General features: G+C 42.8%; 1 protein-coding gene across 1 annotated transcript in view; it reads right to left on the bottom strand.

Moving 5' to 3' along the window:
• The window catches only part of CNTNAP2 (contactin associated protein 2), a 2,304,198-nt gene that overhangs the window by 292,069 nt on the left and 1,988,029 nt on the right, over nt 1-24,100 (bottom strand). Inside the window, exon 16 of the mRNA NM_014141.6 lies at nt 10,642-10,812. Coding sequence (NP_054860.1) covers nt 10,642-10,812 — 171 coding nt within the window. The remainder of the gene's footprint in view (nt 1-10,641; nt 10,813-24,100) is intronic.

The following is a 24,100-nucleotide window of genomic DNA, read 5'->3' as shown; positions in this document are numbered from 1 at the left end:
GACTGCGGTTATGTGGCACCCATAGGAGCTGCCACGTGAGAGGGCTGGTCAGGAGGCCTGGGTGGTCTTTCAAAGCCACCTCTGAAGTGTAGTGGGAGAGAGGCAGAACTCTAGAATCTGTAGAGAGATGTCACTCTGTCTGGCCAGCTTAGGAGGAATTCCCAATCTTCTCTGGAAATTTCCAGATCAGGACATGAGTGGACCAGTAAACTCTAAAGTAACTTGAAATATTTTTATATCCAGAAGACATTCTATTCTAAAATCCATCTTCATAACTCTAGGATACCTCTACTGTACATTCAAATAACTGTCCCTTCAGTGTAATTGGCAAAGAAATCTGGATAAATTTAATCTAAATTGATTTACCAACTATTTATATATCTTTTAATATTTATTAAGAACAAAAAGCTATTATATGAAAAGCTTTAATATAGCACAAATTTCATTTTAGTTTACACTTCCAAACTTCTTTTTGGTCTGTAATTCAAATCAAAGGTTTAAATCGAGAAGTTAGAGAATTTCTTTTTAATCACAAGTGTTGTTATTAAATATTCAGGTCTTCAAATTTTATTTTTGGGGAGAGAATAGTTTTTTTTCTTATGTATAGTAATGACCAAGTCAGAATCACTTTTCAGATTCCAAATGTTGAATATAAATTGAAACCATAATTAGACTTGCAAAGTAGTAGAAACACTAAAATTCTTCCTAAATCCATGTTGATAACCCAAGTTGGCTTGGATAATTAAAAAGAAAAATCCAGAGGCCCGGCATGGTGGCTGACGATTGTAATCCCAGCATTTTGGGAGGCTGAGGCGGGTGGATCGCTTGAGTCCAGGTTTCAAGATCAGCCTGGGCAATATGGCGAAACCCCGTCTCCACAAAAAATACAAAAATTAACCGAGTGTGGTGGCGTGCACCTGTGGTACCAGCTACTCGGGAGGCTGAGGTGAGAGGATCACTTAAGTCTAGAAGGTGGAGGTTATGGTGAGCCAAGATTGCACCACTGCACTCCAGGCTGGGCGACAGAGAGGCCCTGCCTCTAAATAAATAAATATAATATATGTGTGAAAAATCCAGGTGCTAACACCTGATTTGTACTAATAAAAAACACAATATTTTTTAAAACATCCTAAATAACACCCCAACAGAACAACAGCCCAGTTAAGTGGAATTAGACATTCTTCACATCTACAAGAGTGAAACTATTTAAAAATAAAAAGTTGTTCCAATTTTGAAATACTGGAAGATAAATTGCCATTAGTTTACTTCTTCTGACTCATCAGTTTCTGTATATTGCAGAATATTTTCTTCTGACTTTCTTGAGCATGTATATTGCATAAGGCTGCATCTTGAACATGAAAGTTTTTCCTCATATTATTTCCTAAGATTAGTAGGACATTAGGCCGCTGCCTGCACATTTTTGTGGAGATATGTCTGCTAAATGCAAATATTCCCTCCAAGTTATCCTGATACCTTAAAAATCTCAAACTTGGGCAACATGGAAGCTTATGTTAAAGTATTACAACAGTTTCTGGTTGCTTTTCCTGAATGTTACCTACTCAGTGAGCTTTTCCTTCAAAATTTCCCTCCAAAAATCCCCTTCACAAATGTCCTCTAAAATCTTATTTATTTATTTATTTTGAGATAGGGTCTTGCTCTGTCACCTGGGCTGGAGTGCAGTGGTACAATCTCAGCCTCCTGGATTCAAGTGATCCTTGTTCCTCAGCCTCCCGAGTAGCTGGGATCACAGGGGTGTGCCACCACGCCCAGCTAATTTTTGTATTTTTAGTAGAAATGGGGTTTCGCCATGTTGGCTATGCTGGTCTCGAACTCCTGAGTTCAAGCAATCTGCCCACCTCGGCCTCCCAAAGTGCTGGGATTATAGGCATGAGCCACCGTGCCCAGACTAAAATCTCTTTTAAATTGTTAAACAAAAATAGACTCTATGGTCACTATTTGTTGTATCATTAAACACTTTCAAACACTTCCTTCCTCTGATTGCAGTCCACCCTAAGGGGACCCTAACTTACAACCCTTAGAATTGTAACCCCTTTTCTGAGTGGCCCATATCTTGGGGCCAGGCGAACAGTTGGCCTATTCTTCCCTTCTCCGTACTTCTTCCACTCTATGGCTCCAGAGTCTTCAAACGGCTTCGCGTCCACCTGTGACTCGTCCTCTCCCCGTTCATATTGTGGTCACTGTTTGAACCCCAGGACAGTAAAGTTTGGGTCATGGATTCCCTGTCCATTTCACCTCTTGTCTTCACCATTGATGACCTCAACAGTGACATAGGTGACCAACCAACACTACTCTGGCCTCCCAGTGCCCTGACTTTCTCCGCAGCCTTTTGATACAACCTACAAAATTCCATTTCAATTTTCATTCTTCTTACCGCCCAAACTGCTTTCCTGTGAAATCGTGAGTTCCAAAATTTCACTAACCGTGACCTGTCCTTCCACCTTTCCACATATTATTCCTTGTCTATATTTGGATCGCCAGCACCTCAGTCGTGGTGATCTGCTTCTCCACCTAGATTTTCTGGGGCTCTCCATTCAGACTAGCACCTCATTCATTCATTTCATTCATTCAACAAATGCTTATTTAGTTCCTACCACATGCCAGGCATTGTGGTGACCCTGGAGATATAATGGTAACTAATGTTCCGTAACCCTCGCAGCATGGGTGTATGACGGAGCCACACCTTTTTGATGTGTTCATGCCATCTATGATGCTGTGCTTTTTTCCTTTGGCATTCTAAACCTGAAACTTCCTTTTCCATTTACTTTGTGGCTCTTTTAAAATGTTAGCATCTTCAAGGAAACTTTTCTCCTTCTCCAGTCAGAAGTAAATATTGCCTCATCTAAGTAACCACAGCATATTGTTCGTACCTCTAATATTATCCTATCCAAAATATTATTTTATAGGCTGGCTGTAGGTGGTAGCTTATACCTATAATCCCAGTTCTTTGGGAGGTGGAGGCAGGCAGATCACTTGAGGTCAGGAGTTCGAGACCAGCCTGGCCAACATGATGAAACCCTGTCTCTACTAAAAATATAAAAAATTAGCCAGGCATAGTGGCACATGTCTGTGATCCCAGCTACTTGGGAGGCTGAGGCAGGAGAATCACTTGAACCCGGGAGGCAGAGGTTGCAGTGAGCCAAGATTGTGCCACTGCACTCTAGCCCAGCTGGCAGAGTGAGTGAGAATCTGTCCAAAAAAAAAAAAAACTATATATATATACACACACACACACACACACACACACACACACACAGTTTTATAATAACAGAGATTACTAGTCTCAAATAAAGAAAATGTGGTACATATACATCATGGAATACTACACAGCCATAAATAAGAATGAGATAATGTCCTTTGCAGCAACATAGATGAAGCTGGGGACCATTATCCTAAGCAAACTAACACAGGAACAGAAAACCAAATATTGCATATTCTCACCTATAACTGGAAGCTAAACATTGAGTACGCATGGATACGTGTACTAAGCGTGGAGGGCGGGAGGAGGGAGAGGATGGAAAAACTACCTATCAGGTACTATGCTTATTACTTGGGTGACAAAATAATCTGTACATCAAATCCCCGTGACATGCAATTTACCAATATAACAAACCTGCACATGTACCCCTGAACCTAAAAGAGAGACAGAGAGAGAGGGAGAGAGAGAGAAAGAGAGAAAGAGACAGAGAGAGATTAAGATTACTAGTCTTTCCCACTAGATGGTGTGTGCCTCTGGGATGGGGCCATGTCTTCTTCTTACGTTCATTTTAGGTACACACATAGCAGGTACTCAATAAATACTAGATAAATATTTAGATGACCATATATTTAGAATGAGATCTGAGACTTGACCCCAAATCTTCACTGCCTGTGTCATACTTCACACTCTAACAATACAAAATGCTTGTAGTTTCCCAAACGCCCATCACACTCCCCATTCCTGTGTTTTTGTTCGCATTGCCTCTTCCTCCTAGAATTCTTTTCCCCATTCCTTTAACTTTTTTGCCTGATTTTTATGACCCAACTGAAGCATTCCCTCATCTTCCCCTTCATTCCCAGGATAGGTCACATACCTCTCCACCGATTGTTCATAATACTTTGTGCCTATCATTGTAATTTACTTATTTTAACGATTAAATGCACCATATCTGGATTCGGCAGTGTCAACTCTATGCTCTCATTTCCTTAGCTGTAAAATGTGTATAAAACTTGCTGTGTAAACTACAAAAGTTAATAACCTACAAAAGCTTTAGAACAGGGCCTGGCACTTGCAAAGCTCTCAATGAAATTATGTATCCACACTGTCACTAATGTGTTTGTCTCCTTCACTAGGAGGTGGATGCTGGGTTCTCCTGTTTCCACCTCAGCTTCCCCAGCGCCTCCCAGCACCAGCAGTAGGGCAGGTGCTCAGGAGGTGGTGGCCCGAGGTTGGGACCCTGGTTATGATGGCCCTCTCAGTCAGAAAAAGGATCTAGAGCAGTCAAGCTAATCCCTTAGGGGTAACTGAAAAAATACATGGACAGATCCATGGTTGTTAGTGATGAAGAAAAGTTTAGAGTCTGGGTTTTCTGATATCTGCTCCATAAATTTTTTTTGAACAATATTTCTTTGCCATCTCAAAAATACTAACAAACAAACGTCCACACACAACAACAACAACAAATTCTGATTTGGAAAGGCACTTCCTAGTGGGCGGTTTACGCTGTTCTCTTTACTTCCGCCTCTTCCTCTCACCCCTGTGAGGTGCTGCGATGCTGGGTCTACCTCATGCCCACAGCCATGGGGACCTTGCTCCTTCAGCCAGTCCCTTTATCTCCTGTATTACCAATCCCCCTTCTCTACCATAGTTTTCTCCTTCAACTATATGAATGCTAAAGTCTCTACCATCCTCAAACTAGAATGAACAAAACCACCCTCTCTTGATCTCCAAATCCACTTCCACTCACCCTAGTGATACCTGACTTTTTGACCGTGACCTCTACATGTTAAATCTGATGGTCACTTTATGTCCTTGTTTTAGGGACCTCTCAGCAATATCTAACCCTCTTTTTTTCCTTTTTGAAATGTCTTTTTCATTTGGTTTCTGGGTACCACTGTCTTCCTACTTCTCTGTTAGTTTTCTGCAAACTAGTTTTCTTCCTTCTATTCCTTGAATGTGGTTTTCTTTTCTTTCTTTCTTCCTTTTTCTTTTCTTTCTTTCTCTGTTTCTCTCTTTCTCTTTCTTTTTCCTTCCTTCCTTCCTTCCTTCCTTCCTTCCTTCCTTCCTTCCTTCCTTCCTGCTCTCCCTTCCTTGTCTCCCTTCCTTCTCTCCCTTCCTCGAGGTCTCGCTCTGTCACTCAGGCTAGGGGGTACAGCTGTGTGATCATAGCTCACTGCTGCCTCAAATTCTTGGGCTCGAGGGATTCTCCTGCCTCAGCCTCTGGGCAGGAGGCTAAGGGACTACAGGTGCAGCCAACCATGCCTGGCTAATGTTTTATTTTTAGTTTTGTAGAGATAGGGTTTCACCATGTTGCCCAGGCTGGTCTTAAACTTTTGGGCTCAAGTGATACTCCCCCTTCAGCCTCCTAAAGTGCTGGGATGACAGGTGTGACCTACTGCTACTCCCAAAGTACTGGGATGACAGGTGTGAGCTGGTTGTCTTTCTTGTACATCTTGCTTCCTCTCTCTACACATTTGTTTTGGGCAATCTCATCCATGCTGAGGGTACTGAATGCTTATTTCCTGATCCTCTAAGTGATGATGACTCCCAAACTGAGTTTCTGAGACCTCTCTGTTGGGTTCTGGACTTGTCCATTCAGCATCCTCTAGATGTGTCCACTTGATTAGATCCTCCTATAGCCCACAGAGACTCAGTCTCAAAATATCCAGAATGCAGTTTGTATTTTGCTCTTGAATGTCAGACTCCTTCATGAAAGGTGCCCCACTCACACAACATCAAAACTAGAAACACTGGTTTCATTCTAGGATCTTCCCGTCCACTTAACCCTCACGAGTATTTGTTGAATGTCTGTGGAATCTATCTGTTAAGGATCTTTCTTTTTTTTTCTTTTTTTTTTGAGATGTATTCTTGCTCTGTGCTCTGTCACCCAGGCTGGAGTGCAGTGGTGTGATCTCGGCTCATTGAAGGATCTTTCATATCTACAATGCTTCATCACTGTCTTCCTCTCTTTCTATGCATTCTGCCTCTGTCTTAACAGAGGCTCCCATGGCTGGTTGTCTGGCTTCCAGTCTTTTCTCTGGTGAATGCAAACCTGATCAAGTTACGCCCTGGCTCTCCATAGCCTTCAGGGTCATGTTGAGTCAGATGCTCCCCCTGGCAGAGTGCATTGGGTGCTCATCTGTGCCCACCTTGCTATTGCTGGCCCCTGCCCCTCCCCACTGCACCTGTCCCCTCCTGGGTCCTTCGGTTCAGTCTCCGACACCTTCGTTCATTTGGTGTTATCCTGAAACTTCCTTTTTTCCCTGGCTCCTGTTCTTCCCCCACTTCTTCACCTTACTGGCTTCTACTTATCCATCAAAATTTAATTAAAGCATTCCATCCCTGGGAGGCGCTCCTTGTCAAGCCAGTCAGGTTTAAAAATTCCCCTCAGTGCTCCCGGCCTCTTTCTTGCTATCTGTTCTGTGAGGCAGTGTGCTTTAAGGTTAGCAGCAATGACTTTGGGACAGACACATAATGTTTGGGGTCAAACACCAGCTCTGCCACTTCCTGGCTGTATGACCTTGGCCAGGCAACTTGCTCACCCTGTGCCTCAGTTTCCTCGTTTGTAAAATGGAGATGTGAATGCTAGTATGCACTTCACAGGGTGGTTAGGAGTGTGAGATGATTCACGTAAAACGCCTGGAACGAGGCCTGAAAGTCTGAATGAAGCTGAGCTATTTTTGTTATTATCATAACTCCTGAGTTACTTGCCTGCTTTCTAAAACAAACAGAAAGATCTTTGAGGGAAAGAAATCACACTTGATTTGACTAAATTACCTCAGCACTAGCACTGTACCTGGGACATAGTAGATACTCAGTAAATACTCATTAAATGAATGAATAAATATGAATAGTAAATACATGAAGTATAGGGTTAAAATGTTACCATTAAAGCATGCTAATGAGTGAGATTGCCCTAATTTTATCTCTGTGTTTTTCTACTTGTGCATAAGATGCTGATGGTATCTCATTAACTTAGTGTACACTGACTCATTGTTTTCTGAGTCGAGAATCTTCCACTCTTGACAGAAGGGCACAATGTAATTAATTAACAGAACTGTCATTCTGGAAAGCAATATGTAGTCATGAACTGTGACCAAATTCCTCTGAGACACGCTTAGAGAAAAAAAATGTGAATTCCTATCAGAAAGAGATCAGAAGGCCTAACAAGCTAAATGGGAAAAACATAGAGACAGTTCTAAAGAGTTTAACTTCAGAATCAACGTTTCCTGAGGCCCCTCTGGTAGCCCGCCACTGTTGTGAAAACAATTAGGTTTGCAGAGTGATTCCTCACACAAGGAAGTGGGCCTGAGAGAATTCTCTACCCAATGTCTCAGGAATCCTGATGGCGAAGTGTCTGACTGAAAAAGTATGATCAGCGGCCAGGCGTGGTGGCTCACGCCTGTAATCCTAGGGCTTTGGGAGGCCGACGCGGGTGGATCACGAGGTCAGGAGTTCGAGACCAGCCTGGCCAAGATGGTGAAAGCCCGTCTCTACTAAAAATACAAAAATTAGCCAGGCGCGGTGGCGGGCCCCTGTAATCCCAGCTACTCGGGAGGCTGAGGCAGGAGAATCACTTGAACCTGGGAGGCAGAGGTTGCAGTGAGCTGAGATTGCACCACTGCACTCCAGCCTGGGCGACAGAGCGAGACACCATAAAAAAAAATAAAAAAAAATTAAAGAAAAAGTGTGATTGATGAGACAGCGACAGCAACAAGCCTCCATCATGGCCATTTTTTTCTCCATGTTCTTCATGAAAGCACCACTTTTGGTTTGCTTTGTAGTTTTTCTTAAATACAGAAGTCTGCCTCCCTCTCCATGAGGCTCCTTTGAACCCTGATGGAGATGACATATAATGATGGGCATCTAATATGTGACATTTTGGGGATCGTGAAAATGTCTTTCCACCCTCTCTGGTTATTAGTAGATACAGGGGGCTCTGAGGGAAGATTAGAGGCTCGAATCTGGGTCTTGAACGTTTCACATGTTTTTGCCCAGAGTAAAGGATACAGTGAAAGTAAAGGTATTTGACAAAAGGAGGCTGTAATTCATACTGTGAACCATGGGCCACATGGTTTTCATACTGTGGAAAGACCTGGAAAACTCTGAAGACAGCTCTAAAGATTTTTCATAATTAGAAATTAGTGGCTGGGTGCAGTGGCTCATGCCTGTAATCCCAGCACTTTGGGAGGTCAAGGCAGGCACACTGCCTGAGCCCAGGGGTTTGAGACCAGCCTGGCCGACATGGCGAGATCCCGCAGTGACAAAAACCACAACAATTAGCCAGGTGCAGTGCCACGCACCTGTAGTCCCAGCTACTTGGGAGGCTGAGGTGGGAGGATCACCTGAGCCTGGGAATTCGAGGCTGCAGTGAACCATGATTGCACCATTGCACTCCAGCCTGGGTGACAGAGTGACACCCTGTCTCAAAAAAAAAGAAAAAAGTAGAAGAAAGTAGAGAAATTCTTTGACCCCGAGGGCTGAGTAGAAACACCTGCTCTCCCTCTATCTAGTATGTGTTCCTTCTTACCCAGGCGTGGCTTTACAAAACTTGAGGACATAAAATAAAGATGGGGGAATCCAAGCACTTTTATAGAAACTTACAGAACCACTCAAATATAGAACTGGCAATTTTCTTTTGTGGCCATAAAATCTTTCTAAAATTTGATCCAACTTATGTAGAAGTCAGAAAATAGTTTGATTCAGTTAGTTAATTTTAACTGAGGGAAGCAAGAATCCCCTTTCAATTATTCTTATCCAGAATTCAGTAAAGGGGGGATTTTAATTAATTAGTTAATTTTAATTCTAGGACCAGGATAGCCTTAGCCTCCCTTTCAATCAGACCTGGCTCAGATCAGATCTGCCATGGGCATCCTCAGAAGATGATAATTACAATAACTACTAGATACCAAAATAAATGCCTTATGAGTATTTAAATTCTATTCTCATCACAATCCCACAAATTAACATTTCCTTTTTATAAATCAGAAAATTAGGATTCAAAGAGATTGAGCAATTTACCTGACGGTGTGGAATTGAACCTAAGAATGCTACTGTGAATCCAATAGCATTTCAGCAGAAATGGGAAATGGATTTGGGATCATTCTCAGACCAGACCCAGGAACATAAGCACTCATTTAAAGGGGACAGACTTGGCAAAGGGAGACTTTTTTTTCTGAGACGGAGTCTCGCTCTGTCACCCAGGCTTGAGTGCAGTGGCGCAATCTAGGCTCACTGCAAGCTCCGCCTCCCGGGTTTACTTACGCCATTCTCCTGCCTCAGCCTCCCAAGTAGCTGGGACTACAGGCGCCCCCGCCACCACACCTGGCTAATTTTTTTTTTTTTGTATTTTTAGTAGAGATGGGGTTTCACTGTGTTAGCCAGGATGGTCTCGAACTCCTGACCTCGTGATCCACCCAAATCAGCCTCCCAAAGTGGTGGGATTACAGGCGTGAGCCACCGTGCCTGGCCGGAAGGGAGACTTTTTGATATGCTGAGTGTAAGGCTGAGGTTTTGTAAAGGGACAGGGGACATAGCCTGGCCTCGTCCTTGTGGTTGATCTCCCCGACTCTCACAGCCAGTGGAGTCTCCCTGACTCTCACAGCCAACGGAGTTCAACATTTGCAAATAATCAACTGGCCTGGAAGTCAGGGGATTGTAACTTCCTAAAGCTGAATTGGGGCCCTGATGTTTAAAGGGTCCAGGTAGGGCAAGCATTGCGCTTCTCAAGTCTTGTGCAGCTAACCCCCACCTTCCACTGACGGAGCTCCCCAAGCCTGAACGCCCCCTTAGGATGTTTGCTCCAAGGCCAGCTGAGCTGAGCTAAGCAGCATCCTCTCTTGCTCTGCCTCTTATTGTCTCTGTATCTTTGGCTAAGTACATGACATCCAGAACTCACTTGCAGAGGGTGGGCAGGTGTGGGTCCTCTGTAGGAATCCTGCAGACTCTGTGTCATGGAATTGCCCAGTCCTGTGGTCTCCGTGGCCTCCTGAACTCACACGGATGTCACTAGTTATCATTCCTGTCTTCCTTGACCTTGACATGATTTTCCTCACTCCCTGCTCCTCGGGTCAATGCACACACCCCTCACCTATTTTTGACCCTGTCTCTTTGGAAAACAGCCACACAAGACATGAAGCTGAAGATAAACATTCCTCTCCCACATTCTCAGGGCGGTGTGTTCTCTCTCATCTTCTTGACTAATTGCTTGAGAATCTGGATGTGCCTGCTTCCCTGAGAGCATCCCAAGGACAGGGACTGAGGTTGGAGCCCAAACTCAGGCTTGTGTGTCCACCTCTAGTCCTGCTCCTGGAACAAAGGAAACCTTCCACGTTTGAATCAAAAGGCCTTCCACAATCAGGACCCGGACCACCCTGAGGTGACGAAAGTGGCTCCCCATGAGTTGACAAGCAACTTATACTCACACTTCAGCTCCAGCTTGATGAAATCTTCCTTTCCCATATTTTCAAGAAACACTCCCCAGGGGGTTAATGTTTTGAAGTAGAAAGAAATGTCAGCGCTAGTTTCCCCTTGGAAAGTAGAGAAGTGCAGGTAGGAGGATGGGTTTGGGAAAGAGGCGGCATTCCAATAATTCCCTGTGGGAAGAAAACAAAAAAATCAGGTTAACTCACACCCTGATCAGCCTAGTCATGTAACAGATACCCATTGCTTGAGTTTAATAAGTACCATTAGCAATAGTCATTATTTTCTCTCATTCTGTTGAACAACATTGGACCAAATCCTCACAAATATATTTTTGACTTTCCAAAAGTTATATGTGTGTCTATATAATATTCATTTACATATAAAGATATTTAAAGTATTAATATATACAATCTATATAAAATTAAATATTAATATAGAATTTCTATAAATTGTACAATAAAATATTTTATAATATTTATGATAAACAATATTTTATAATTATATAACAATAAAGATTGATATAGTTGGGGTTCCTACCAAGGAGTCCTATGGGACTCTAAGAAGTAAATGCCAATAGACACAACAATTGGGAGAAGCCCCTGGGGTTACTCTGTGGGTGGGTGGGGGCTGTTTTGAACTCCTGCATATGTACTGGTAGCTTTGGTCTGGTGCAAGCAGCATCTGAGATAAACCTCAGGATGACAAAGTAAGAACAAAGTTTTTGGTAGTTTGCTCTTGCTTTTCATCCACCTCTGCCTTGGAAGAGCCAGTGCTCACTCCTGTGTCAACGGCCACCCAGACACCTGGTGCAGGTGCTTCAGGAATACAACTGACGGAGCCTGGAGGAGGTGAGGAGCCGGGAACGAGGCAGAAGTGACCAGACTAGGCTAGGGCAGTTTCCTCACCTCTCCTGCGCCAAACTCTCAGAGGTGAGTTGCCTTCTCTTCCCTTCCTACTTCCTCCTGGGGACTGCAGGTGAGGCTCTGGCCTGTGGGATTGTTGTATAGTATGGGGATGAGGCAGTGAGCCCACCAAATGGCTCTCAGCCAGCCTCTGTCCTTGAGCTCTTGGAGAAGATGTGATTGTACCAGCTGCCTCTCCCCACTCATTGCCTGACAGAGCAGCCAGTGTTTCCAGGAGAAAAGCAGCTCGCAGGATGCAATAAAAACACCAAACTGCGTTACTCAGACTCCATTAGGACAGATGGACTAAGAATTTAATATGGGATCAAGAGTTGGCTCTCAACTTCATCTTCAGGGGAGAAATTCCTTTTTAATGTGCACATTTCTGAGTACACTTACTGTCACAGCTAAAGACTAAAATATATGGGTGTGATTTAAAGCAGTTACTAAAGCCTTGAGCTCTGATACTAAACTCCAAATGTATGCTTTTTAAAAAACACGGTATTTGCTATATCTTTTCTCCAAAAGGCACAATGAATCAACTAAGTGCACTCCATTAGTTTCTATTCATACACAAATGATATTTTTCCTTCCTTTTATGCAAATTATACACATATGCAATATTAAATTGAGCTACTATTTTCAAATAAAAGTTACTTTGTGTTGGTTCTGCCATGCTTAAGTCATAATTTTAAATTATGAAATATTAAAATATGGTCTTATTTAATTAATGCTGTTTGTTTTTGTTTTTAGAAATGTCTAGAATATAGCAACATCTAGATAAGTCCCCAGGCATGTTAAAAGATAAACTTAGGCATATTAAAATCTTAACATGTTTATTTGGACATTCAGTGATTCGTGAATTGGGCAGCACCAGAATTCAAGTTGTCTACTGGGGTGCGGGGTTGGAGAGAGAGAAATGTGTTTGTGGATGCAAGACAAAGAAACCGTTTGATTGGTTAATGTGGAAAGTCTTTAGTTAGAGGTTAGGTGGTGGTTTCTGATTGCTGATAAGCTTAGTTTCGTTTCAGTATTTACATTGAAGAGGATTTGGCTTGCTTCCCTAGGTATCTAGGGCTCTGAAGCTGTCTCAGCCAATGGCATTCCTATTAATTACTGTCGCAGGTAATACATAAACAGGGAACTAGTGCAAAATATGTTTGTAAATATCTTCATTAGGGTAAAAACTGTTCTTAATGTGTTCCTAATCTTAGTGCAGTCTTAAGCTTCTTCTTTTTTTTTTTTTTTAGACAGAGTCTCGCTCTGTGGCCCAGGATGGAGTGCAGTGGCACGATCTAGGCTCACTGCAACCTCCCCCTCCCAGGTGCAAGCGATTCTCCTGTCTCAGCCTCCTGAGTAGCTGGGATTACAGGCACACACCACCATGCCAGGCTAATTTTTGTATTTTTAGTAGAGACGGGGTTTCACCATATTGGTCAGGCTGGTCTCGAACTCCTGACCTCAAGTGATCCACCTGCCTCAGCCTCCCAAAGTGCTGCGATTACAGGCATGAGCCACCATGCTCGGCTGCTATTTTTTTTTTAAACAAAGTATAAAATCATAGATTTCAGTAGGAGAAAATAGGCAAATAGGTTGCTTTCTTCTTGGGGAGGAGAATATTGTATGATGTAGTGTAGGCTACTGGTAACAGGAACAGAAAGGCGCTTTGCAAAGCTCAAGTTGCTAGTTATCAAGGGTAAGCCTTCCTCCCCCCTCAACATCTGCCTTACTACACAGCAAGAGGCGTTCAGGTGCACCTCTGTGAGAAAACCTAAATCTACGCTCTCGCTCATCAGAGAGTCCTGAAGCTGGGAGGGAATAAAGATGAGGCCCAGGGCCAGAAGGATTCAGCTCATCCTAATTGGGTGAGAGCCCTTTAAGGACCCGAGAGCCTGCAGAGATCAAAGTCCCCAGCCAGACTTCAGCCTTAAGCAAAGCAATTCTGTCTCTTTAGGCTGTATCCCCAGGATACGAATGCAATTAACATTTTAAAATTTCAATCCAATCAAGTACCTTCTTATTTTCTGAGGTGGTGATGTATTAACAGAAGGGCAGTTGTCTAAAATGATTCTAGAAAAAGGAAAGCTAAAAGTAAAACATGTCAGTATTTATTTGAGGCCCAGCACTGGTTATTCAGACAGAAATATCCGCAGAGAGGAGAAAAGTAGTTCCATCAGTTATTCAAGTGTGATGAAATATCTCTATAGACCACAATTCCATTTATTCTAATTCTATGCTCACTAAGCAACTTCAATCTAATTTGATCTCTTGAATAGACTCATTCACGGGGAAGTCATGCCTTGTACAAATGGTTTTTCCCACTATCCTGGAAACATCTGGATTATCACATGATGCCCTTGGAGTTGTCAATTGTGAGTTATCTCAAATCTCTGGATGAGCTTATTAAATCCAGATTCTTCAGAAGCAACAGGGAGGACTCCACTCTGGATTAGACTGATGGTATCAAAGTAGGAGTGCGGCTCAGGAGGTGCCAAGGGTGATCACTGGGGCTCAGGCAGATGATGTTAGAACTTCTGCTTTTACTTATTTTAAAAATGTTATCCTTTAATATCGATTTTAGTTATACTTTATAATGTACACTATATAAATGCAGTGGCACATGGATGGGATTTGTAAGTAAACATGCTTAATGGGATGTGGACTTACAGGCTTTCAGTGAGTGTGGTACAAATAATAAATCATGGATGCTTCTGCTCCAGCCCATGGTCACCATCTCTGAGTCCTGTTCTGAGGAATCTGTTGCCCAATCTCTGGGATTTTTTTATTATAACAAGATTATATGCGTGCCTTTTCCAGTGCTGATAGCGCTTCTGGATGCAAAGAGTTATTATTGTTTGTTGATACTGCTCCCAACTGATCATAGACTCCATGAAAGCCGGCATGAAAACATTTCCTCTCAGTAATCTTCAGCCTCAGAATATAGTCACCATTCATAAATAATTATTCAATCAATACATAAGTAACTCATTGCCCCTCTCATTTATATCCATTTTCACTCCTTTTACAAAGTCCTCATGAGACAGAATGTTCTTTTTGGTAACCTGGGTGTTAAAGATGCTAAATAAATATAAATAAAAACTAATGCTGCTTTAGCACCTACTGATAACTGGATACTGCTTCCACTAGCACACCATAATTCTCCTTATCCATGGCTTTATTTCTATAACTCCCTATAGACTTCATTGAACAATACCATGCATTTGCAAGACTGATGGTATCATAACCTTAAGGTTATTGAAATCACTGCAATTTGTACTTGCTACCAAGGTCAGTGCTATGGAGGTAAAGTGACAATGGGTGAGAATGCCAAGCTGGGAATAAGAGATTCACTATATGGCAAAGAGAGTGCCAAAGGAGGTGGCAGGGACCAGGCCAGCACGGATAAGTGGAGGAGGCAAGGCTGGAAACTGAGAGGGAAGATATGAAAGATGTGAGACAGAACAGAAATTAGTGTCTGAGACTGGAAGGGTCAGTCAACAGTAACAGAATAATGAGGCAGGTAGAGAGGGACTGGAGACCCAGCCCGGGGCTGGAGTCAAAAGCTTTACAGAATGATCGAGATGACACTGAAGGCTCTGCAGCTTGGAAGTGAGTCAATCACATGAGAAGCTTTGTGACTGCATGTTAGGCAAGGCCAGGGCTCATCACGTGTGGCAAGAGGAACCAGGGAGGCACCTCTAGCTAGTGCAGGAGAGCGGGGCTGAGCCTGCAAAGCAGGCTTGCTGGTCTCCATCATCACATCATTTTAAACCCCAATTAAGCATCAATAGAAAATGCACTATCATATCTTCACACAAATTTCATAGCAGCCACTTACTTGAATCCGACCAGTGATTATTTGGTATTGGATATGGTTTAAATCTGTGTTCCCACCCAAATCTCATGTCTAATTGTAACCCCCAATGTTGTGGGGCCTGGTGGGAGGTGATTGGATCCTGGGGGCGGTTTCTCATGAATAGTTTAGCACCATTGCCCTTGGTGCTGTCTTTGTGATAGTGATTGAGTGCTTATGAGATGTGGTTGTTTAAAGTGTGCAGCACCTTCCCTTCTCTCTCTTGCTCCTGCTCCATCCACGGGGTATGTGTACATCCCCTTTGCCTTCTGCCATGATTGTAAGTTTCCTGAGGCCTCCCAAGAAGCGGAGCAGATGCCAGCATCATGCTTCCTGTACAGCCTGCGGGAACTGTGAACCAATTAAACCTCTTTTCTTTATAAATTACCCAGTCTCAGGTATTTTTTTACAGCAGTGCAAGAACAGACTAAGATAGTATAGGATTCCAACTTCAAGCTTTCTGAGCACATTTTCTGATGGACAGCATTTCATTTTCAACCTAATTTTTGTTTCTAACAAAGTATTACATGTACATAGTTATAAAAGTCTAGTGGTGCTAGGACTAAAGCAAAAAGCAGTTCCCTGCTTCCCGCCCCTTCCCAATTCCTTAGAGACACCTTCTCACACTTTTAACTCTTTCAATTAAACAGCTGTATTTTTTTTTAAAAAAAAAAACCTCTGGAGCTACTTATTGATTTATACCTTTTAGATATTCTCTACTGATTTTCCTGAATATAAGATGAGAATTTAGCACTTTTATAAGCCTGCTTCCCCAGCCCCTTTCTCTATATTCTCCCCAAATAGCTAAATCACAGATTTTTGGTTATATTGAAATTCAAGCTTGGCATGGTGCCTCACACCTGTAATTGCAGTGACTGGGGAGGCTGAAGTGGGAGGATTGCTTGAGGCCAGGAGTTCAAGACCAGCCTGGGCAACACAGTGAGATCCTGTCTCTGAAAAAAAATAGCTGTGTAGTTCTAGCTACTTGGGTGGCTGAAGCAGGAGGATCCCTTGTGCTCAGGAGTTCGAGGTTGCAGTGAATTGTGATCATGTCACTGCATTTCAACCTGGGCAACAGTAAGACACTATAATAATAATAATAATAATAATAATAATACTAAAATTTAGCACAGTATTCATATTTTAGGACTATGTAATATTATTTAAAAGCCAACCAATAAAATCTACTTGTATTTTCTTTAAATTGTATTTTCTTGCATTTTGTTGTATGTAATTGTATTTTCTTATATTTTTGTTTGTTGCAATTGTATTTTCTTGTATTTAGTTTCTTTAAAATCCATAATTATTTTTTTCATTTGCTTATTTTTCTATGTATCTGCCACGAATTCTCTCCAGATTCTCTAACACAGCAGTAAAACTCTTCTCAAACATTTTCCAACATTGCACACATCAGGCCATCTGCAGTCACGTTTTTGTCCCCTGGAGGCATCTTCTATGGCTCTCTTTCCTCTGTTCCCACCTGGACGGGGTCTTCTCAGGGTTCCTGCACAGCCCTTGTCCTGGGACCTCCCTCTGCCATTAGTGCAGGGACTTCCTTTTGCCACACTTTGGTATTACATCCCCAAGTTTCAGGATCTCATGACATCCACTTCCTAGGTCTACACTCTCATTTTCCTGAAACACATTCTCAGGTAGCTCCTTGAGAAAAGAGATACTCGAGGTTAACTTTCTAAACCCATGTTCCTCTGATGAGTCATTATTCTACTTTCGCACTTAATTGAGAAACTCCAGAAAGAAAATTGTCAGGCTGTCAGGGCTGCTACCGGGAAAGCAACTGCTTTCTGTTTACGAAGCCTTATATGCAACCTACATTTTTTTCCTTTCTGGAAACTTTCAGGATCTTTTCTTTAACTCTTTTAATTGGAACTTCATGATTGCCTTGATATAGATTTTTCTCCCATATGAGGTCTGAGACTTTAATAATTTCTCTGATCCCTTTTCTCAAACACCTATTTATTTTAGATTTTTTTTTTTCTAATTTTGTTCCACATTTTGATCTTTTTCCTTTGTGTTCTACTTCTTTGGAAATTTCCTCAGCTTTATTTTCAATACTGTCATTGTGTTTTAATTTCAGCTATCATATTTTAAATTTCCAAGTATTATTTCTCGTTCTCTGATAGTCCCCTTTTTCATAGCACCCCATTCTAATTTTTTTGGAGGCAATATCTCAATATCTTCTCTTGTCTCTCTGAGAATATTAATTTAATTATCAAAAGTTTTCTTCTGCTTTCTCTGTCGCCTCTGTTTCTTCCCAGACCTCCTGCCACCCACCCCTACCCTGGATTGTGAGTTTGGGGGTCCCTTCTTTTATGACATCTCTGACATTATCCTACATAGTTGGTGACTCTCACCTGTCTGTTTATACCGAACAGTCAAGTACTAGACAGCTGACTGCAATCTGGAGTGTGTGTGTCTGGGATGGTGGTGGATTTGATGTTTGGGCTTCATGATCACATGGAGAGTCCCCTGTCCCATTGAAGGGACTCCGAATGTCAGTATCTGTGACTTGTTTTGGTCACTGAATGTTCAATATCTTGAGAGAAGAATCCGCTACTTTCCTCATGAGGAATATATGTCTGTTGCTCAGTGCTTGGGAAGCTGACAGGAAGAAGGCTAAGGAGAGGGGTCAACCTTATTAAGTCAATTTCCTCTGTTTTTATTAAGGAGCTTTACCCCCATTTTTTGGTGCCTGGTGTCTGGAGTGTGAACCCCCACTTCCTGCATGGGTAGAGTAGGACAGTCACTGGCAGGGTCATAGCGGGGAGCTGGGGTGTGACTGACCCTCACATAGACGTTCCGCCATTCCTCCGGCTCTGAGCCCGGCCCTTGCCTGCCTCCGGTTCCTGGGCCTCTTGGAGCTCCACAGCTTGCTTCCCACCTGCCTGTCAACAGCCTGGACTTACAGATTTTCCTTTACTGCCAGTAGTGAAGTAACTGAACTTGTGATGTGCTGAAGTTCTTTCGTGGAGAATGAAGAGAAGGAGGTAACAGACTGAAGTCACAGTCCACCTGTGGGTCCAGCAAGAGCCCTAGAAGCATTGGCGCGGGTGGTACTACCAGGATGAGGTGGTGGGGGGTGGGAGTGATGACAGGAAGTGAGTCCCTGGGCTGCTCTGGGCTGTCACCTGGTGAAGCTTCCCTGCACTGTTTCCGTGTGCAGGCTGAGGAAGCCGACCTCCAGGTTCCCATTCTGGCTCTACCATCTCCACCTACTGGGCAACGTGAGGCAGATCATTTGGCCTTCCTAAATCCTCATGTGTACAGTGGAATTGTGGCAGACCAGGTCTTACTAATGCAGGCCTCCATAACAACTGTTTCAGCACTGACTGAATGGTTAAGTTAAATATTAAAAGCTGAAAGAAGCAGTGCCCTTATACAAAGGTTAGGATGTAACAAAAGCCCACCGAGAGTTTGCCTAGGCCTTTTCTGGACCTTGAAACATGGCAAGATAATGAAGGAATTCTTAACAGGACCTGTTTAGGATTAAACAAGTTTCATTGGGGGTCTGAAGAAACTCCCCAGGCCTCCACAAACAAGTTTAATGGGGGTCTGAAGGAACTCCCCAAACCTCCATGATTTAGCAGGAGACAAGGGTCATTAGTCCAGCATCTGAACCCATTTAGATTAAGTAAATTTACTGAGGCTCCAGAGGAAGGTCTTCAGGACTCAGATCTTAGTTATAAATTAAAAGAAGTGAGTCACTTATGTCTTTAGATAAATGCACACTTACTCATAGACATATAGCTTACAAGGTATGTAAGCTCTGGAAAACTTTGTAAGTTTGAGTTGATCTGGCGATAATTTCCAGGTGTTCTCCCTGTACCCAGTTACAGAAATAGAATCTCAACGCCTGTAATCCCAGCACTTTGGGAGGCCAAGGCGGGCAGATCACCTGAGGTCGGGAGTTTGAAACCAGCCTGACCAACATGGAGAAACCCTGTCTCTACTAAAAATACAAAGTTAGCCAGGCATGATGGTGCATGCCTGTAATCCCAGCTACTTGGGAGGCTGAGGCAGGAGAATCACTTGAACCTGGGAAGCGGAGGTTGCGGTGAGCCGAGATCGCACCATTGTACTCCAGCCTGGGCAACAAGAGCGAAACTCCATCTCAAACAAAACAAAACAAAACAAAACAAAACAAAACAAAACAAAACAAAACACCTCTCTTCTTTCCCAGTTCATCTGCATCTCTTATTGGGTGGTGAGAATAAGCAGCTCGACCCTATTTGGTCCAGGAACAGAATAACAGTGGAACCTCTTTTATAGGGTATGGTAAGAATCTCAGGAGATAACCCATGAAATACATTTAGCAGAGTGCTAGGCACAAAACAAAAGATCAACAAATGTGATTACTTACTACTACACTGATATTCTTTAATTTCACTTACAGTCAGCCTGTGCAAGGGCTTGGCCAAGGAATGGGGAAAGATGGAAGAGGAGCCTCTTTTCCTTCAATGTGTGAACAGTAAGACGACAAACCCTGAGGCTTTTCCCCTGAGCCTGATTTACCACAGGTACTAATGCTTTTTTAGAAATCATAAATTGACAATGTATAATTGTATAAATTCATGGGGTACAAAGTGATGTTATGATTTATGAATATGAAGTGAAATAATTAAATCAAGGTACTTAACATATCCATCACCTCAAATACTTAACATTTTGGGGGATAAGAACATTTGAAATTCATCCTTAGCAATTGTGAAATATACATATTCTATTACTAACTACATTCACCAAGCTGTGCAATACAACTTAACCAACCAAGCATGTTCCTCCTAACTGCACTCTTTGACCATCTCCCCATTCCCTGCACCTTCCAGCCTCTGTACCCACCATCTTCCTCTCTGCTTCTCTGAGTCTGTTGTTTTAGATTCCACTCATGCATGAGAGCTTGCAGTATTTGTTTTCGGTGCCTGGCTTATTTCACAGAGCATTATGTCCTCCAGTTCCAACCACGGGGAGCAGCAAACCCCAGGATTGACAGCTAAGCCTGCAGCGGTCACTTCCTCAGCTGGTTTACTCCTCTCAACCTCACCCATGTCTGCCCTTTTGTCCTCGTCATCTCTTTCCTTCCTCTGCTCCCTCACTAGCTTCCAAAACTCTGTACTCCCTATCTCTTCATCTCCACTGATTTTTTTTTTTTTAATTTTTTGGTAATTCCATTCAGGACACATGAATCAGAGCTATCATCCTTGAGCACCAGCCCTGTGTTACGCTTTGTAGAGTAGCCATTAAGTAAAAATCTGATGAAAGGAGGAGGGACCTGACGACTAAGAAGGTAGAGTTACCCAAGCAATGGACATGATTGCATTTGAACAAATGTTTACGGGAGATAACTGCAGAGTAGCAGAGACAGGTGATGAGAAGTAGAGGCCCTGCCTGGTGTGCCTGCCCCTGCCCTGTCTCCTCCCTCCCCAGAGGGGAGATGGGGAATTAGGAAGGGGGAAGAGATGGTGGCTAGAAGAGTCTGCGTTTGGCTCGCATGGAGAAGACTGCGTGAAGGCACTCTGGGCTGCAGTTTGGTGAGGAGTGTCGCTGCCAGGCTGGCTCCAGTGGCCAATGGTCTTGTCATTCCCCTCCCAGATTGAGTGATTTCCTCAGGTCACCAAATGGCTCACACTGGGGCTGCACCTAGAAGAATATCTATAGCTTCTGCTGTAAATGGCAAACACCTTCCAATGTAAATAGCAGCTCTGAAGAGACTAATTACTCTGAAAATTATTAGTGACCCAAATGTTAGAGATTTGCAGATTCTCTGAGTTATGCAAAGGGCCTTCTATTGTTTCCTGTGAGCTGGGGACTGTGGACAACAATCAACCAGATGGCTTCATTTGCATGCAAATTTGAGTCTATTTGTCAAGATTTCCTTACGGGAGAAAAAAATTACTTCCTTAATTAAACCTTTTTTGTACATTCAGGTTAGGTAAGAGGAGCTTTGTTCAGCTCTAGGCCTCATTTTATTGGGCAAGCTTCACTTAGAATGAAGGGCTGCAAGTTATTAATAAAATGCTGTCCATGGGTTTGAGTCAGCCACTCTCTCTGCAGCATTTCTTCCCGTCCAGCAAGCCTGTTTCACGGCTGCAACACAAAATGATCAGAGGACAAGTTTGCGGGAGGAGTCAACAACATAAATATTTCACCCTGTGTGTCTCTGTGATTCGGGTCCTTTGGGCTAGAATGGGGATGGGGTCCCACAGAGAAAAAGAATATGCTGGTGAAAGCAGTTGAGGTGCTTCCTGCACTGCTGTGAGCTGACCTATAGCCAGGTTCTGGGGCTTGTGGTAAAACGGGCTTGTTCCTAGTCATGGAAATTCTTACATGTCAATCCCATTATTAGTGCATTTAAATATAAAGGGTACTTATGAGGTAATTTCGGTACATTTAAAATGTTTGAAACAGTTGTGTGTTTCACATGTTTGGAGGGTGGGAACAAGTCTAAGATTTTTTTATGAAGCTCTTCAGGCTCTCCACATTAGGGCTCTACAATTTCCCACTTTTCATTTGGGGGGCTATTATTTATGCCTGAGTAATCCTAGGTCTACCGGGGCTCAAAGTTAATAACTAGAAGCGGAGACGTGAATAGCTAGGTGTGTCATGGGAACTTGTGGCCTTCCTGTCCTCACTCCAATTTCTGTCCTGGGTAAGCCCTAAAGGTTGCTATGTGATTGATTCCAGAAAGCGGGGAATAACAAGACTGAATCTTTTACACCCTGGCAAAGAGGGGAAGAAGATTTAGCAAGAAACAAAGTTTTGATTTAGTAAAAATAAGACTATGTAGTATTTTTTGCATGTAGAGGTTGTAAAACAAATTGATGTCTGCTTCCTGTAGGTTAAGGAGTAGACTATCAGGCTGGCCATAGTGGCTCAGGTCTATAATCCCAGCACTTTGGGAGGCTGAAGCCGGTGGATTGCTTGAGCCCAGGAGTTTGAGACCAGCCTGGGCGACATAGTGAGACCTCGTCTCTATTTATTAGGAAAAAAAAATATGTATATATATATATATATATATATATATCTCAAAGTGTGCAGTACACTGAAGTGCCATGGGGGTGGGGGTGACTCTGGGGAATGACAACTTCAAAATGTTCCTGTGTCCCAGGGATGAATATTTATGCTTTTTTTCTTTTCCTGAGTAATTTTCACCCATTTCATGATTTCAAGTACTAATCATATGTTAACGATTCCCAAATTTGTGCATAAGTTAGATCTTCAGTATAAATCATCAAGGTAAAGCTGTCCAGTAAGAAATGCCTATTTTAGCCTTAAACTCATAGTAGAGATCTAACTCTAAATATCTGAAAGCAAGCATTTTTCTTCCAAATTAACTATATCCACAGTATTCTCCATCTCAGAAGGTAGAGCTTTTCCCACTCTGCCATTCAAGGCAGGAACCTGGGAGCCCTTCCTTAGCATCCAGTCAATCCCCAAGGCCTGATAGCCACACCTTCTAAATAGTCTGTGCTGTGTCTCCTCCTCTCCATTCCTTCTGCTGCCTTGGCTCTGCATTGTCTCTTGCCTGGATGTGGCAGCAGCCTCCTAACTTGGTTCTGTTCCTGCTGCTGCTCATCTCAAATTCATCCTTGATAAAGCCAACAGAGAAATCCATCTAAAATGCAAAACAAGGCCGGGCATGGTGGCACATGCCTGTAATCCCAGCACTTTGGGAGGCCGAGGTGGGTGGATCACCTGAGGTCAGGAGTTCAAGACGAGCCTGGCCAACATGGTGAAACCCTGTCTCTACTAAAAATACAAAAATTAGCTGAGTGTGGTGGCAGGTGCCTGTAGTCCCAGCTACTTGGGAGATGAGGCAGGAGAATCACTTGAACCTGGGAGGTGGAGGTTGTGGTGAGCCAAGAGTGTGCCATTGCGCTCCAGCCTGGGCAACAGAGCAAGACTCCATCACAAAAAAATAAAAAAAAAAAATAAAAAATAAAATAAAATGCAAAACCGACCATTTCACTCTCATGCATCAAATCCCAACGGTTCCAAATAGCTTGCAGAATATATAGTATTGCAAGCTCGGTGACATGGCATAGTAAGCATAGGCCTGCTTTGCCAGCCTTATCTCTTTCTACTCCTAGCCTCAGAATGTATATTTCAGCAACATGCAGCTACCATTGTTCCCACCATGACAATGGTGTGTGTGGATTCCAGCTTTATTTGCACTGTTTCCTCTTTTTGGATTGTCTTTTTCTACAACATCCTCCCCTTCTCTCTCTCAGTTCATATACCACATTGGACTTGATTTCTACTCATTCTTTAAGACTCAGTTCAGATGCCACCTCCTCCAGACAGTCTTTCTGACGTATCCCCGGACTGGGCATGGTACTATTTCCCTGTCCTCCTAGGATATCTTGTATCTATCATTGCATCTAACTTGTTATTATAATTACTTTCATGTGTTCCTCTCCTCTGCTAGGCTGCAAATTTCAGAGAGCAGAGATTGTGCTTTCTATATATTTCTAACTGTAATATCTAGCTTGACACACAGGTATTCAATATGTGTTTCTTGAATAAATGAAAATAGTGTGTTTTTTTTAATAAATTTGAACCATGGGAATTCCACTACCAGTTATTATCATTGCTTGACATGACCATCTGCAAAGCCTACTTTTGACAGTTTCAGAATTGAAGAGCTATTTAACCCATATGGACAGAAGCTTTTCTAGGTTTGGCATT

Source organism: Homo sapiens, chromosome 7 (genome assembly GCF_000001405.40).
Source record: "Homo sapiens chromosome 7, GRCh38.p14 Primary Assembly".
NCBI classification, from domain to species: domain Eukaryota; kingdom Metazoa; phylum Chordata; class Mammalia; order Primates; family Hominidae; genus Homo; species Homo sapiens.
Note: the sequence above shows the minus strand (reverse complement) of the source record. Positions and strands in the feature narration are given on the sequence as shown.